Source organism: Homo sapiens, chromosome 3 (assembly GCF_000001405.40).
Source record: "Homo sapiens chromosome 3, GRCh38.p14 Primary Assembly".
NCBI lineage: Eukaryota > Metazoa > Chordata > Mammalia > Primates > Hominidae > Homo > Homo sapiens.
This window is the reverse complement of record NC_000003.12, coordinates 191,483,797-191,496,413: the sequence shown is the minus strand read 5'-3', so window position 1 is coordinate 191,496,413 and position 12,617 is coordinate 191,483,797. Positions and strand designations below refer to the sequence as shown.

At 35.3% G+C, this 12,617-nt stretch overlaps 1 long non-coding RNA gene across 1 annotated transcript in view, besides 1 other annotated feature; it reads right to left on the bottom strand.

Annotated features, from left to right (window-relative positions):
• Positions 1-12,617, bottom strand: part of PYDC2-AS1 (PYDC2 antisense RNA 1) — a 164,833-nt gene that overhangs the window by 93,943 nt on the left and 58,273 nt on the right. The window lies entirely within an intron of this gene.
• Positions 3,460-3,629: an enhancer, noted in NCBI's record as "experimental_67093 CRE fragment used in MPRA reporter constructs". NCBI's record gives its function as "activates a minimal promoter by MPRAs in K562 erythroleukemia cells, with activity observed for both the introgressed and non-introgressed 3:191210659 variant alleles {active_cell/tissue: K562}" and the evidence as "EXISTENCE:reporter gene assay evidence [ECO:0000049][PMID:34662402]".

Below are 12,617 nucleotides of genomic sequence, written 5' to 3'. Positions count from 1 at the left end.
TACCCATAGTAGCTTTATTCATAATATTCCAAAACTGGAAGCAAACAAGATGTCCTTCAAAAGGTGACATGATAAACAAGATGTGGTATATCCATACAATGGAATACTATTCAGTGTTAACAATAAAGGACCTATCAAGCCATACATAAACATAGATGAATCTTAATCTATATTTCTAAGTGAAAGAAGCCAGTCTGAAAAGACTACATTCTGTATGATTCTAATTATGTGACATACTGGGAAAAGCAAAGCTATAGAGATAAACAGATCAGTGGTTGGCAGTGACTCAGGGGGAAGTTGGAGGACTGAATAGGTGAAGGACAGGAGACTTTTTTAAAGTGGTGAAGCTCTTCTGGATTATACTATAATGATGGTTGGCAGGTGTTTGGGTGGCACGGAAGAACTGATAGGTGAAGCGCAAGAAATTTTAAGGTAAAAATATTCTGCATGAAACTAATGGTGGTTACATGGTGGTTTCATGGCACTATGCATTTGTGATAACTCATAGAAATTTACAGTACAAAGAGTGAACCTTCATGTATGCAATTAAGAAAAAACATTTATGAGGCTGAAGAGTCCCAGGATAGAGTGTAGAGTATGACTAAAAGCTAACTGTGTTACAAATTTATGAAATAACCTCACTGGTGGGGACAAGGGAGAAAGCACTGACCTAACCAACTTTGGAATGAGTGAAATTAAGATTGAAGTCAAAAGGAACTGTATATAAGCACTGTGCTGTAACTCAAAAGTTATTTTCCACATGGGTTAGGCTAACAATTCTCAAACTACTATACTTATGTACTGCAATTAAACAATTAAATAAATGGATGACAGATGGTGGGAGCAAGGTGTCTCATTTTTGTAGTGGGATAACCAAGATTAGGAGGCCAATTCATGTGGTAATGGATTAGAATTGGAGACATCAGTATAAACTCATGTTTAACTTAACATATGCATAGATGATTACAAATAGTAATATTTATAATCATGTGCAATGTGTTAGTATACATGTATATATTTCTTTGCTGTGTCAGCTGACAGGGCCTGAAATCAATGATATCCCAGTAACAGTTAGTAAAACTAGCACCTAGATCTTGGTTTCTAGTACCATTTTTCAGTAAGTGACACCAAGACTTTCTGAGAAATGGTTGATTCTAGGACGAGGAAAGGAAATATACGAGATAGGCTTGGAGCCTCCAGTATTGCCATAAAATAAAAAAGTGATCAATAAAACCACATGATAATGGGGAAATGTCATATGGACACAAGAACCAATTAAAAGAGCACCCAATGATTACTGCTGCAACAATTAGAACAACAACATAAATAAAGTAATATTAAATCATATTCCAAATATCTATAAGTTCATAGTGACATAATGATTGAAAAAATAAATAAATTGAAGATAATGAACAAATCTTTTGTGCAGAAGAATTCCAAACAATTTACGTAAATAATTTGATTTGAAGGTGAAGCATAACCCCCATTCCTTAAATATGGGTTGCACGTAGTGACTTCCTTCCAAAGAATGTATGGAAACCCAGAGTAACTGCACAGTGGGGAAATCTGATAAACACTACTTTGACTAGGTATTGAAGCTTGACATAAACAGTGATAATGCAGTGATAGTATATATCCTTGATATAATGTGATCGGAATAGCGTTTGAACTCTGCGGTCTTCCTCCCAACAACCTATAACTCCAGTCTAATCATAAGAAAAACATCAGTCAAATACCAATTGAGAAACATTTTATAAAATACCTGACCACTAATTCTCAAAACTATTAAAGCCATAAAAACAAAGAAAGTCAGAGATATTGTCTTAGCCAAGAGGGACCTAAGAAATTAAGACCAAAAAAAATGTAGTATGTTATGCTGGATGAGGTTCTGCCATACAAAAAATAAATTAGGTAAAAACTAAGAAAATCTGAATAAAGTATACATTTTAGTTAATAATAAAATATCAATGGTGGTTAATTAATTATGACAAATGCACTATATCAATGTGATGTTAACAATAGAGGGCAGTGGATGTGGGATATATGGGAGCTCTCTGTAGTATCTTACAATGATTCTGTAAACCTTAAATTTTCTAAAATAATAAGGTTATGAGAGATAATCTAAGGTTCTCTTGAATATCTGTGAAAATGCAAATGCTTCCTAGAAGGAGCTTTCTTTTATCTCTTATCAGTCACTTCACTTTAGTACGCAGAGAAGAGTATGATCAAATTCTGCTATGAAATTTGTAGAAAAGAGATAAAAGAGATCGATGGCTCTTGAATCTAAATAGGTAAAAAGAAGTAGGTTGTTTGTGAGTGGTAGTGTAAGAAGGTAGATAAAAGAATATTTTTTAAGTTTATGTTCTTGTAATAGAAAAGATAGATACTGCTAAATGCCAAGATGCTCTGGGATAGAGCAGAAAAAGCAGAATGATCCTTTCTGTATTATTTAGGTCAAGTCATTTGCTAGCTTTGGGTGTGTTTTCCCATACACTTAGTAAAGAAATTGAATTGTTACTCCTACAGGATCATTCAGTCATTCATCACCTTCTATGATGCCATGAATATGGTTTTAGCATGGGCTAACTGGCAGATTAACAAAGAAGCAGAAAGTTTTAGTTAAATTAATTCATTTTTACTTTTATAAGTGTCAAATTCATAGTCAAAGAAAATCACCTACTGCATATTTTTGTATGACACATTATTATCTATGTAAAAAAATAAAGGAACCAAATGAAATTTAGTGCCATCTCATTCATCTTTTGGTAATGAAAACTTTGCCTTTTAAATAGAAAATTTGCATTTGACCAGAAAGAGGGAATAAAAACTTGGCTTATTCCTTTGGCTTGGTTACACTTCACAAAAACAGACTCTTAACATAATAATATCTGTATGTCACAGATGCCAGCAATTATTTATAGCATAAAAGAATAGAAGCATATGTCTATTTAGATAAAGCACATAAAAAGTACAGTCTCTACTTCCTACTACTGATTGCCTCTTCATGAAATCTCTCAGATGTCACATCATCAAACTCATGTTGCATTGCCAAAATTCCATAAAAAGATACCCAATTTAAAAAATTGGCTCCTTTTAGATAAAAATAATGACACCAAAGTTAATGGTACAGGGATGTTTTACTTAGTGTGGAAAGCATAATTAATGAAGGAATATATAAACTAACAAAAATATTTCAATAATAAAAATAATTATTTCAATCCATATACAGTTATTTTAGAGAAGTAGGATGCCTATTCAGAATTTAACCTATAATAAACAAAATGAACAAAAAAAGAAAAATAAACACCATTTATAGCAATTTCATTTCCAATTTTTGTGACATTTGATGTTTTCACAGTAAGAGTCATTGTAACTGATGACAGAACACTTTGCACCTTTGACTGCTGCAACCAAAATAGATCTTGGAGATCATCAGTGCAACCATTACATTTTGCAATTGAGAAGCTGAAACATGAACTAGCTAACCAGGACAAAAATTCCATACCATGAGATTCCCACTTCATTGCTGCTTTACCTATAGAACCAAACACAGTAGTCAGTGGTGTACTGGAGCAGACTCATCCTGGCTTATGGGAGCCAATTTTTAAATATTCAGGAAGTCTATGAGTCACGTATTAAACCACTGGAAACCTGAAATTGGCAACAGTGGGAGTATTTATTCCACAGAAATAGGCAAATACTACATATATGGATTTTCTTTATTTATTCCTTTCTTTCTTTCTTCTTTTCTTCCTTTTTTTTCTTCAGGGATTTGTTTTCCCAACACACCACTGGTCCCAGCCCTCAAGTTGCAATTATATACAGTAGTTGCCAGTTTCATGTAAAAATAAACTTTATACTAAAGATAGGAATGTTGATATTTTTAAGTTTATACTTAACATTTCTAGAAAAATGGTATATTGTACTCATTTGGGAAAAACTTAGAAATAATATTCTATATTTCTAAAGATGTGAACATATGTGAAATTTATATTGTATGTCTGACAGAGAATGTCAATCCACAGTACAGGAAATTGTCCTTACCAAATTAGAAATAGGCATAGCTATTTCACAAAAGCAGAGTTATTTTTATGGTAATCTTACAGGCATATGATGATTAGTTAACTGGATCAAAAAAAATAATAGGCATAACCTGGGGAAGAGCATGAATAGGGTGGGAGGTGGTAAGAATCCAAAGGAAAAGTAAAATAAAGGGAACAGATTCCCAAAGAAGCTTCAACCTGGTAACAGGAGTTCTCACTCCCACTGGCCGGCTGCTTTAAGTTCTTTGTGTCAACTTGTTGCTGTGGCTTTGTGAAAAACAAAATGTTGAGTCAATTCTTACTTGTATGACCTAACTTCTTAAAGAAACTGCTAATAGTTAAAGAAATGTTATGAAGGCTAAACCATATTAAGTTCTGTCCGAACATTCTTTACAGCTCGGGTGATAAAAATGAAATATTCCATTTTGATTAAGTATAATCTGAGACATTTAGGATATATTAAAATTACAAAAACCAATTAGCAGTTTGACATACAGGGTTGCAGTAGGATTTCTAATCTCAGAACTTTTGACATTTGGGATGGGATCATTCTTTGCTTCTTTGGGATGTGCGTGCGTGTGTGTGTGTGTGTGTGTGTGTGTGTGTGTGTGTGTGAGAGAGAGAGAGAGAGAGAGAGAGAGATTAGGAGGTGGAAAGCAGCCTGTGCCTTGTAGGATATTTAGCCTATCACTGGCCTCTACCCGCTTGAAGCCAGTAGCCACCCCCAACTCCAGTGGGCAAATCAAAAGTGATTTTCAACATTGCCAAACATTTCCTAGGGGACAAAATTGTTCCAGGTTTAGAATCACCCAATCAACAGTATAGAAAGAAGGTATGAACTCAAGAAACAGGTTTGGAAATCATGTTTTTAGTAATTGCTAAAGCCTGTTTAATGGTATCTAAATAAGGGTGAAGATCTCCCAGGAAACACGTATAAAGTAGAAAAAAATTAAGGATCCAAAATCAGTGGATAAGGTACAACTCTTTCTATTAGAAATAACAGTTACCCAACTTGAAGTAAAGAAATAAGATAATTTATTGGACCTCAAGAAATGAGATCCTGAGTAAGATTTAAAAAGCAAAAAAAAAAAAAAAAAAAAAAGTGTTGAGCCCATGAAGATGAAAGGACTGGCGTTAAGTGAATAAAGAAGCCCTGAAAGAAACAGTGTAACAAAAGCCAAGAAATTCTTTATCTTCTCTACCCTACTCTTACCCTGAGCCTCCCAGTCTTTGAGACTCAGTTCAACTCTCTTGTTTCCTTTGAAATCATTACTAATTCTCAGTCATTACCAGCATTCCTGTCTCTGGTTCCTTTTCTTGGAGATTATGCCAAATAAACTTGCAATGAAGTGTATTCTTTTAATATCATTTGTTGCTGCTTTGTAATTTTTTTATTAGAATCTATTTGTTCATATCACATGGATTTACATATGCAGCTATAAGAGGTAAATATAAGCATATTTTCTCAAAGATTCATTATAAGAAATTTTCTTTGAATGAATGAAAGTTAGACACATGCAGTTTTGTAAGCACACATTGAGAATATATTTTTAAAACATGTTTCTTTTTTCCATTGGGCCCTATAAGGCCAAGAGAGAAATCCAGCAAGAAAAGGCAATAAAATGTAACCATCCTTTTTTTTTTTTTTTTTTTTTTTGAGACGGAGTTTTGCTTTTGTCGCCCAGGCTAGGGTGCAATGGTGCGATCTCGGCTCACTGCAACACTGCAACCTCTGCCTCACGGGTTCAGGCAGTTCTCCTGCCTCAGCTTCCCGAGTAGCTAGGATCACAGGCACGCGCCACCACGCCCGGCTAATTTTTGTATTTTTAGTAGAGACGGGGTTTCACCATGCTGGCCAGGCTGGTCTCAAAATTCCAACCTCAGGTAATCTGCCCTTCTTGGCCTCCCAAAGTGCTGGGATTACAGGCGTGAGCCACTACGACCAGCCAAGTATACTTTCTTTAAGATGCATCCTAAACTGTTTTCTTTCAGTGAATGGAAGAGTTTGATAGAAAAACACCTTTATTAGTAAACATAGAGAATATGTCATTACAATATGTTTTTTTCTCTATTGGTTCATATTGCAAGGGTTTACATATGCACTTATAAAGGGCAAATTTCTTAAAAGTTCATAATAAGGGCTGGGCCCGGTGGCTCATGCCTGTAATCCCAGCACTTTGGGAGGCCGAGGCAGGCGGATCATGAGGTCAGGAGATTGAGACCATCCTGGCTAACACGGTGAAACCCCGTCTGTACTAAAAATACAAAAAATTAGCTGGGCATGGTGGTGGGCGCCTGTAGTCCTGGCTACTTGGGAGGCTGAGGCAGGAGAACGGCTTGAACCCGGGAGGTAGAGCTTGCAGTGAGCCGAGATTGAGCCATTGCACTCCAGCCTGGGCGACAGAGCGAGACTCCACCTCAAAAAAAAAAAAAAAATTCATAACAAGCTGTTTTCTTTCAGTGAATGGAGGGCTTTGATAGAAAAACACCTTTGCAAGCACATATTAACAATATGTTATTAGAGCATGTTTCTTTCCTTATTGGGCCTCACAAGGTCAAGTAGAGAAATTCAACAATAAAAGGCAAATGTAAGCATTTTTTTTATTGTCAAAATTCAGAAAGTATCATATAAATTCAGTTGGAATAGTGTCTTCTAGTGCTTATCTTTCTATTTTTTTTTATAGATTCGGGGGGCACATGTGCAGATTTTTTACATGGATATATTGCATAATGATGATGTTTGGCATTGTAGTTTGCCCATAACCCAAATAGTGAACATTGTACACTATTTAAGTCCTCACCCCCATTCCCTCCTTCTCCTCTTTTGGAGTCCCCAGAATGTATTATTTTGCTCTATATGTCCATGTGAACCCATTATTTAGCTTTCACTTATAAGTGAAATCATGCAGCATTTTATTTTCTGTTTCCCAGTCATTTCACTTACTACCTCCATTCATGCTGTTGCAAAAGACATGATTTCATCCTTTTGTATGGCTACTTAGTATTCCATGGTGTATACATACCACATTTTCTTTATCCAACCACCCATTGATGGACACAGGTTGATTCCATGACTTTGCTATTGTGAATAGTTCTGCGATAAATATATGATTGCAGGTATCTTTTTAATTTCTTCTTTTAACTTTTGTCAGTACATAGTAGGCATACATATTTATGAGGTACATGAGATATTTTGATACAGGCATTCAATGTGTAATAATCACATCAGGATAAATGGCTTAGCAATCACCTCAAGCATTTATCCTTCCTTTGTGTTACAAATAATCCAATTATACTCTTTTAGTTATTTTTAAATATACAGTAAATTATTGTTGATTGCAGTCACCATGCTGTGCTATCAAATACTAGATTTTATTCATTATATCTAACTACATTTTTGTATGCATTAACCATCTCCAATTGTCGCCCAACACCTCACTACTGTTCCCAGCCCCTGATAACCATTGTTCTACTCTGAATCTCCAGGAGTTCAATTGTTTTTAATTTTTAGCTCCCACAAATATGTGAGAACATGTGAAGATTTTCTTTCAGTGCCTGGCTTATTTCACTTAACATAATAACCTCCAGTTCTATCAGTGTTGTCAATAGATAACATCTCATTTGCAAATGAGAGGATCTCATTCTTTTTAATGGTTGAATAGTACTTCGTTGTCTATATTACCACATTTTCTTTATCCATCCCTCTGTTGATGGATACTTAGGTTGACTGCAAATCTTGGCTACTCTGAATAGTGCTACAGCAAACATGGGAGTGCAGATATTTCTTCAATACACTGACTTCTCTCTCTTTTTTTTTTTTTTTTTTTTTTTTGGTATATACCTAGGAGTGGAATTGCTGGATCATATGGCAGTTCTATTTTCATTTCCTTAAGGAACCTCCAAACTGTATTCCACAGTGGCCGTACTAATTTACATTCCCACCAGCAGTGTACAAGGGTTCCCTTTCCTCTACATCTTCGCCAGCATTTGTTCTTGCCCATCTTTTAGATAAAAGCTGTTTTAACTGCAGTGAGACACTATCTCATTGTGGTTTTAATATACATTTCTCTGATGATCAATGATGTTGAGCACTTTTTAATATACCAGTTTGTTATTTGCATGTCTTTTGAAAAATGTCTATTCAGATCTTTTGCACATTTTAAAATCAGATTATTAGATTTCTTCCCACAGAGTTAAGCTCTTCATATATATTCCGTTTATTAGTTCCTTGTAAGATGAATAGTTTGCAGATATTTTCTCCCATTCTGTGAGTTCCCTCTTCACTTTGTTTATTGTTTCCTTTACTGTGCAGAAATTTTTTAACTTAAGGTTTTCCTATTTGTCCATTTTTGCTTTGGTTGCCTGTGCTTGTGGGGTATGACTCAAGAAATTTTTGCTCAGATCCATGTCCTAGAGAGTTTCCCCCAATGTTTTCTTGTAGTAGTTTCATAGTTTGAAGTCTTAGATTTAAGTCTTTGAACAATTTTTGATTTGTGTATATGGTGAGAGATAGGGGTCTAGTTTCATTCTTCAGCATATGTATATTCAGTTTTCCCAGCACCATTTATTAAAGAGACTGTCTTTTCCCCAGTTTATATTCTTCATACTTTTGTCAAAAATGAGTTCACTGTAGGTGTCTGTATTTGTTTTTGGTTTCTCTGTTCTGTTCCACTGGTCTGTATGTGTCTGTTTTTATGCCAGTACCATGCTATTTGGGTTACTATAGCTCTGTAGTATAATTTGAAGTCAGGTAATGTGATTCCTCCAGCTTTGCTCTTTGTGCTCAGGAGAGCTTTGGTTATTCAGCATCTTTTCTAGTTCCATATAAATTTTAGGATTGCTTTTTCTATTTCTGTGAAGGATGTCATTGTTATTTTGATAAGGATTGCATCGAATCTGTAGATTCCTTTAGAAGTATGGACATTTAAAAATATTGATTCTTCCAATCCATGAACATTGAATATCCTTCCATTTTTGTTTCCTCTTCAATTTTTTTCATCAACATTTTACAGTTTTCATTGCAGAGATCTTTCACTCCTTCGGTTATGTTAATTCCTAGGTATTTTATTTTTTCGATAGGTATTATAAATGGAGTTATTTTCTCAATTTCTATTTCAGATTGTTTGCTGCTGGCATGTATAAATACTACTGATTTTCTTATGTTATTTTGTATCCTGAAATTTTACTGTTTATCAGTTCCAGTGGTTTTTTGGTGGGGTCTTTAGGTTTTTTTCAAATATAAAAGATTATGTCACCTGCAAGCCAGAATAACTTGACTTCTTCTTTTCCAATTTCGATGCCTTTTATTTATTTCTCCTGTCTGGTTGCTTTAGCTAGGCCTTCCAATAATACGTTGAATAACAGTGGTAAAAGTGGACATCATTTTACACTGTTCCACCTCATGTTCCAAATCTTAGAGGAAAAGCTTGCAGTTTTTCTGCATTCAGTATGATAGTATCTGTGAGTCTGTTGTATATGGCTTTTATTTTATTGAGTAATGGTCCATTTACACAGTTTTTAGAGTGTTTTTATCATGAAGGGATTGTGAATTTTATCAAATGCTTTTTCAGCATCAGTTGAACTAACCATAATGTTTTTGTCCTTTATTCTCTTGACATGATGTATCACATTGATTGATTTGTATATGTTGCTTCCCTGAGATAAATCCCACTTGGTTATAACGAACGATCTTTTTAATGTGATGTTCAGTTCAGTTTGCTAATATTTTGCTGAGAATTTTTGCATAAATGTTCATTGGGATATTGGCCTGAAGTTTTTTGTCTGTTTATTTGTTGCTGTTGCTGTTGTTGTAATGTGTCTTTGCATGGCTTGGTATCAGGGTAATACTAGCCTGGTAGAATGAGTTTGGAGATATTTATTTCTCCTCTTGTTTTTTGAATAGTTTCAGTAGGATTGGTATTAAATCTTCATTAAATGTTTGGTAAAATTCAGCTGTGAAGCCATCAGGCCTTTGGCTTTTCTTTGCTGGAATACTTTTTATTACTGCTTAATTCTCATTACTACTTATTTCTCTGTTGATTTTTTTGATGTCTTTATGATTCAATCTTGGTAGGTTGTATGTGTCTAGAACTTTATCCATTTCTTCTAGATTTTGCATTTTATTGGCATATACTTGCTCAGAGTAGCCTCTAACAATTCTTTGAATTTCTGTGGTATCAGTTGTAATGTCTCCTTTCTCATCTCTGATATTATTTATTTGGGTCTTATCTCTTTTTTTCTTAGTCTGACTAAAGGTTTGTCACTTTTGTTTGTCTTTTCAAGAAAAAACAACTTTTCATTGTTCTGATTTTTTGAATTTTGTTTCAATTTTATATATCTATCCTTGGGTTATTATTTTTTTCTTCTACTAATTTTGGTTTTGGTTTTCTCTTGTTTTTCTAATTCTTTAAGATGTATTATTAGTTGTTTATTTGTAGCACTTTCTCTACTTTATTGATGTAAGTGCTTATAGCTATAAACTTTCCTCCTAGTACTGCTTCTACTATACCCCATAGGTTTTGGTATGTTGTGTTTTCATTATCATTTGTTTCAAGAAATATTTGATTTCCTTCTTAATTTCTTCATTGACCCACTGGTCTTTGAGGAGTATATTACACAATTTCTGTTTTTTTTTATGGTTTCCAAAATCCCTCTTGTAATTAATTTAAATTTTATTCCATTTAATGGAATAATTAAAATTTATTCCATTGTAGAGAGAAGATACTCGATATACTTTCAATTTTTTGAGCTTTTGAAGACTTGTTTTGTGGCCTATATGGTCTACCCTTGAGAATGATTCATGTGCTTAGGAGTAAAATGTGTATTGTGCAGCTGTTGAATGAAATGTTCTATTAGGGACATTTGGTCTACAGTGCCTTTTCAGTCCAAAGCATCTTTATTTATTTTGTCTGAATTATCTCTTCAATCCTGAAAGTTTGATGTTGAACTCTCCAGCTATTATTATATTGGGATCAAGCTCTCCCTTTAGCTCTAATAATAGTTGCTTTATAAATCTGGGTGCTCCAGTGCTAGGTGCATTTATATTTACAATAACTTATACCTTCTTGCTGAATTCACTCCATTATTATATAATAACTTCTTTGTGTCTTCCCTTTATCTTCAGTCTGTCTTGATAGGTGAGGTGTGTTTCTTTTAGGCTACAGAGTCTGAGGCTTTTTTTTTTTTTTAATCCATTCAGCCACTCTATGTCTTCTGAATAGATAGTCTATTTACATTCAATGTTATCATTTATAATTAAGGACTTACTTCTGCTATTTTGTTTTTTGTTTCCAGTTGTTTTGTGGTCTTGTCTTCCTTTTTTTCTTCCTCCTGTCTTCTTTTTAGTGAAGGTGATTTTCTCTAGTGGTATGTTTTAATTTCTTGCTTTTTCTTTTTTGTGAATCATTGTATGTTTTTTGATTTAAGGTTACCATGAGGTTTGCAAATAATATCTTATAACCTATTACTTTAAACTGATGACAACTTAACACTAATTGCATAATTATCTGGATTGCCCAGGCAGAGATTCTTGTCCTTTTCCCTTACTTTCTTTCAAACAAACAGAGTTTCTTTCTCTCTCTGTGCTGAGTCACCTGGAGCTGTGGGAGAAGTAAAACAGCACTGTTGTGGCCACCACCACTGGAACTGCTCTGGATCAATCCAGAAAGCAGCATGCTACTGGGTCTCCTCAAAGGCCTGTGGTAGCCACTGCGTGGCTACGCCCTATGTTTGATCAATGCCCTAAGGCTGTACAATCACCAGGTGGGGAAGCCAGATAGGGTGTGTTGTTTCCTTCAGGACAGAAAGTTTTCTCCAGCCTTGGGTAAGTCCAGAGAGTCCATGTGGGACCCAAGGCTGGAGTCAGAAGCTCTAGGAATCTCCATGGTGCGCTCTTCTACTCTGGCTGATCTGGCACATAAGCAACAAAACAAAGTCCTTCTTATTCTCCTTTCCGCTTTCCACAAGCAGAGGAGTCTCTCCCCGTGGTCAACACTGCCTCAGGCCCACAGCAAATACCACCAATGTATTAGTCCATTTTCACACTGCTGACAAAGACATATCCGAGACTGGGAAGAAAAAGAGGTTTCTTGGACTTACAGTTCCACATGGCTGGAGAGGCCTCAGAATCATGGTGGGAGGTGAAAGGCACTTCTTACATGGCAGTGGCAAGAGAAAATGAGGAAGTGGCAAAAGCAGAAACCCCTGATAAAACCATCAGATCTTGTGAGACTTATTCACTACCACAAGAGCAGTATGGGGGAAACTGCCCATGATTCAAATTGTCTCCCACCAGCTCCCTCCCACAACATGTGGAAATTATAGGAGTACAATTCAAGATGAGACTTGGGTAGGAACACTGAGCCAAACCATATCATTCCACTCCTGGCCCCTCCAAATCTCATGTCTTCACATTTCAAAACCAATCACGCTTTCCCAACAGTCCCCCAAAGTCTTAACTCACTTCAGCATTAACCCAAAAGTCCACAGTCCAAAGTCTCATCTGAGACAAGGCAGGTCCCTTCCACCTACATGCCTGTAAAATCAAAAGCAAGCTAGTTACTTCCTAGATACAAT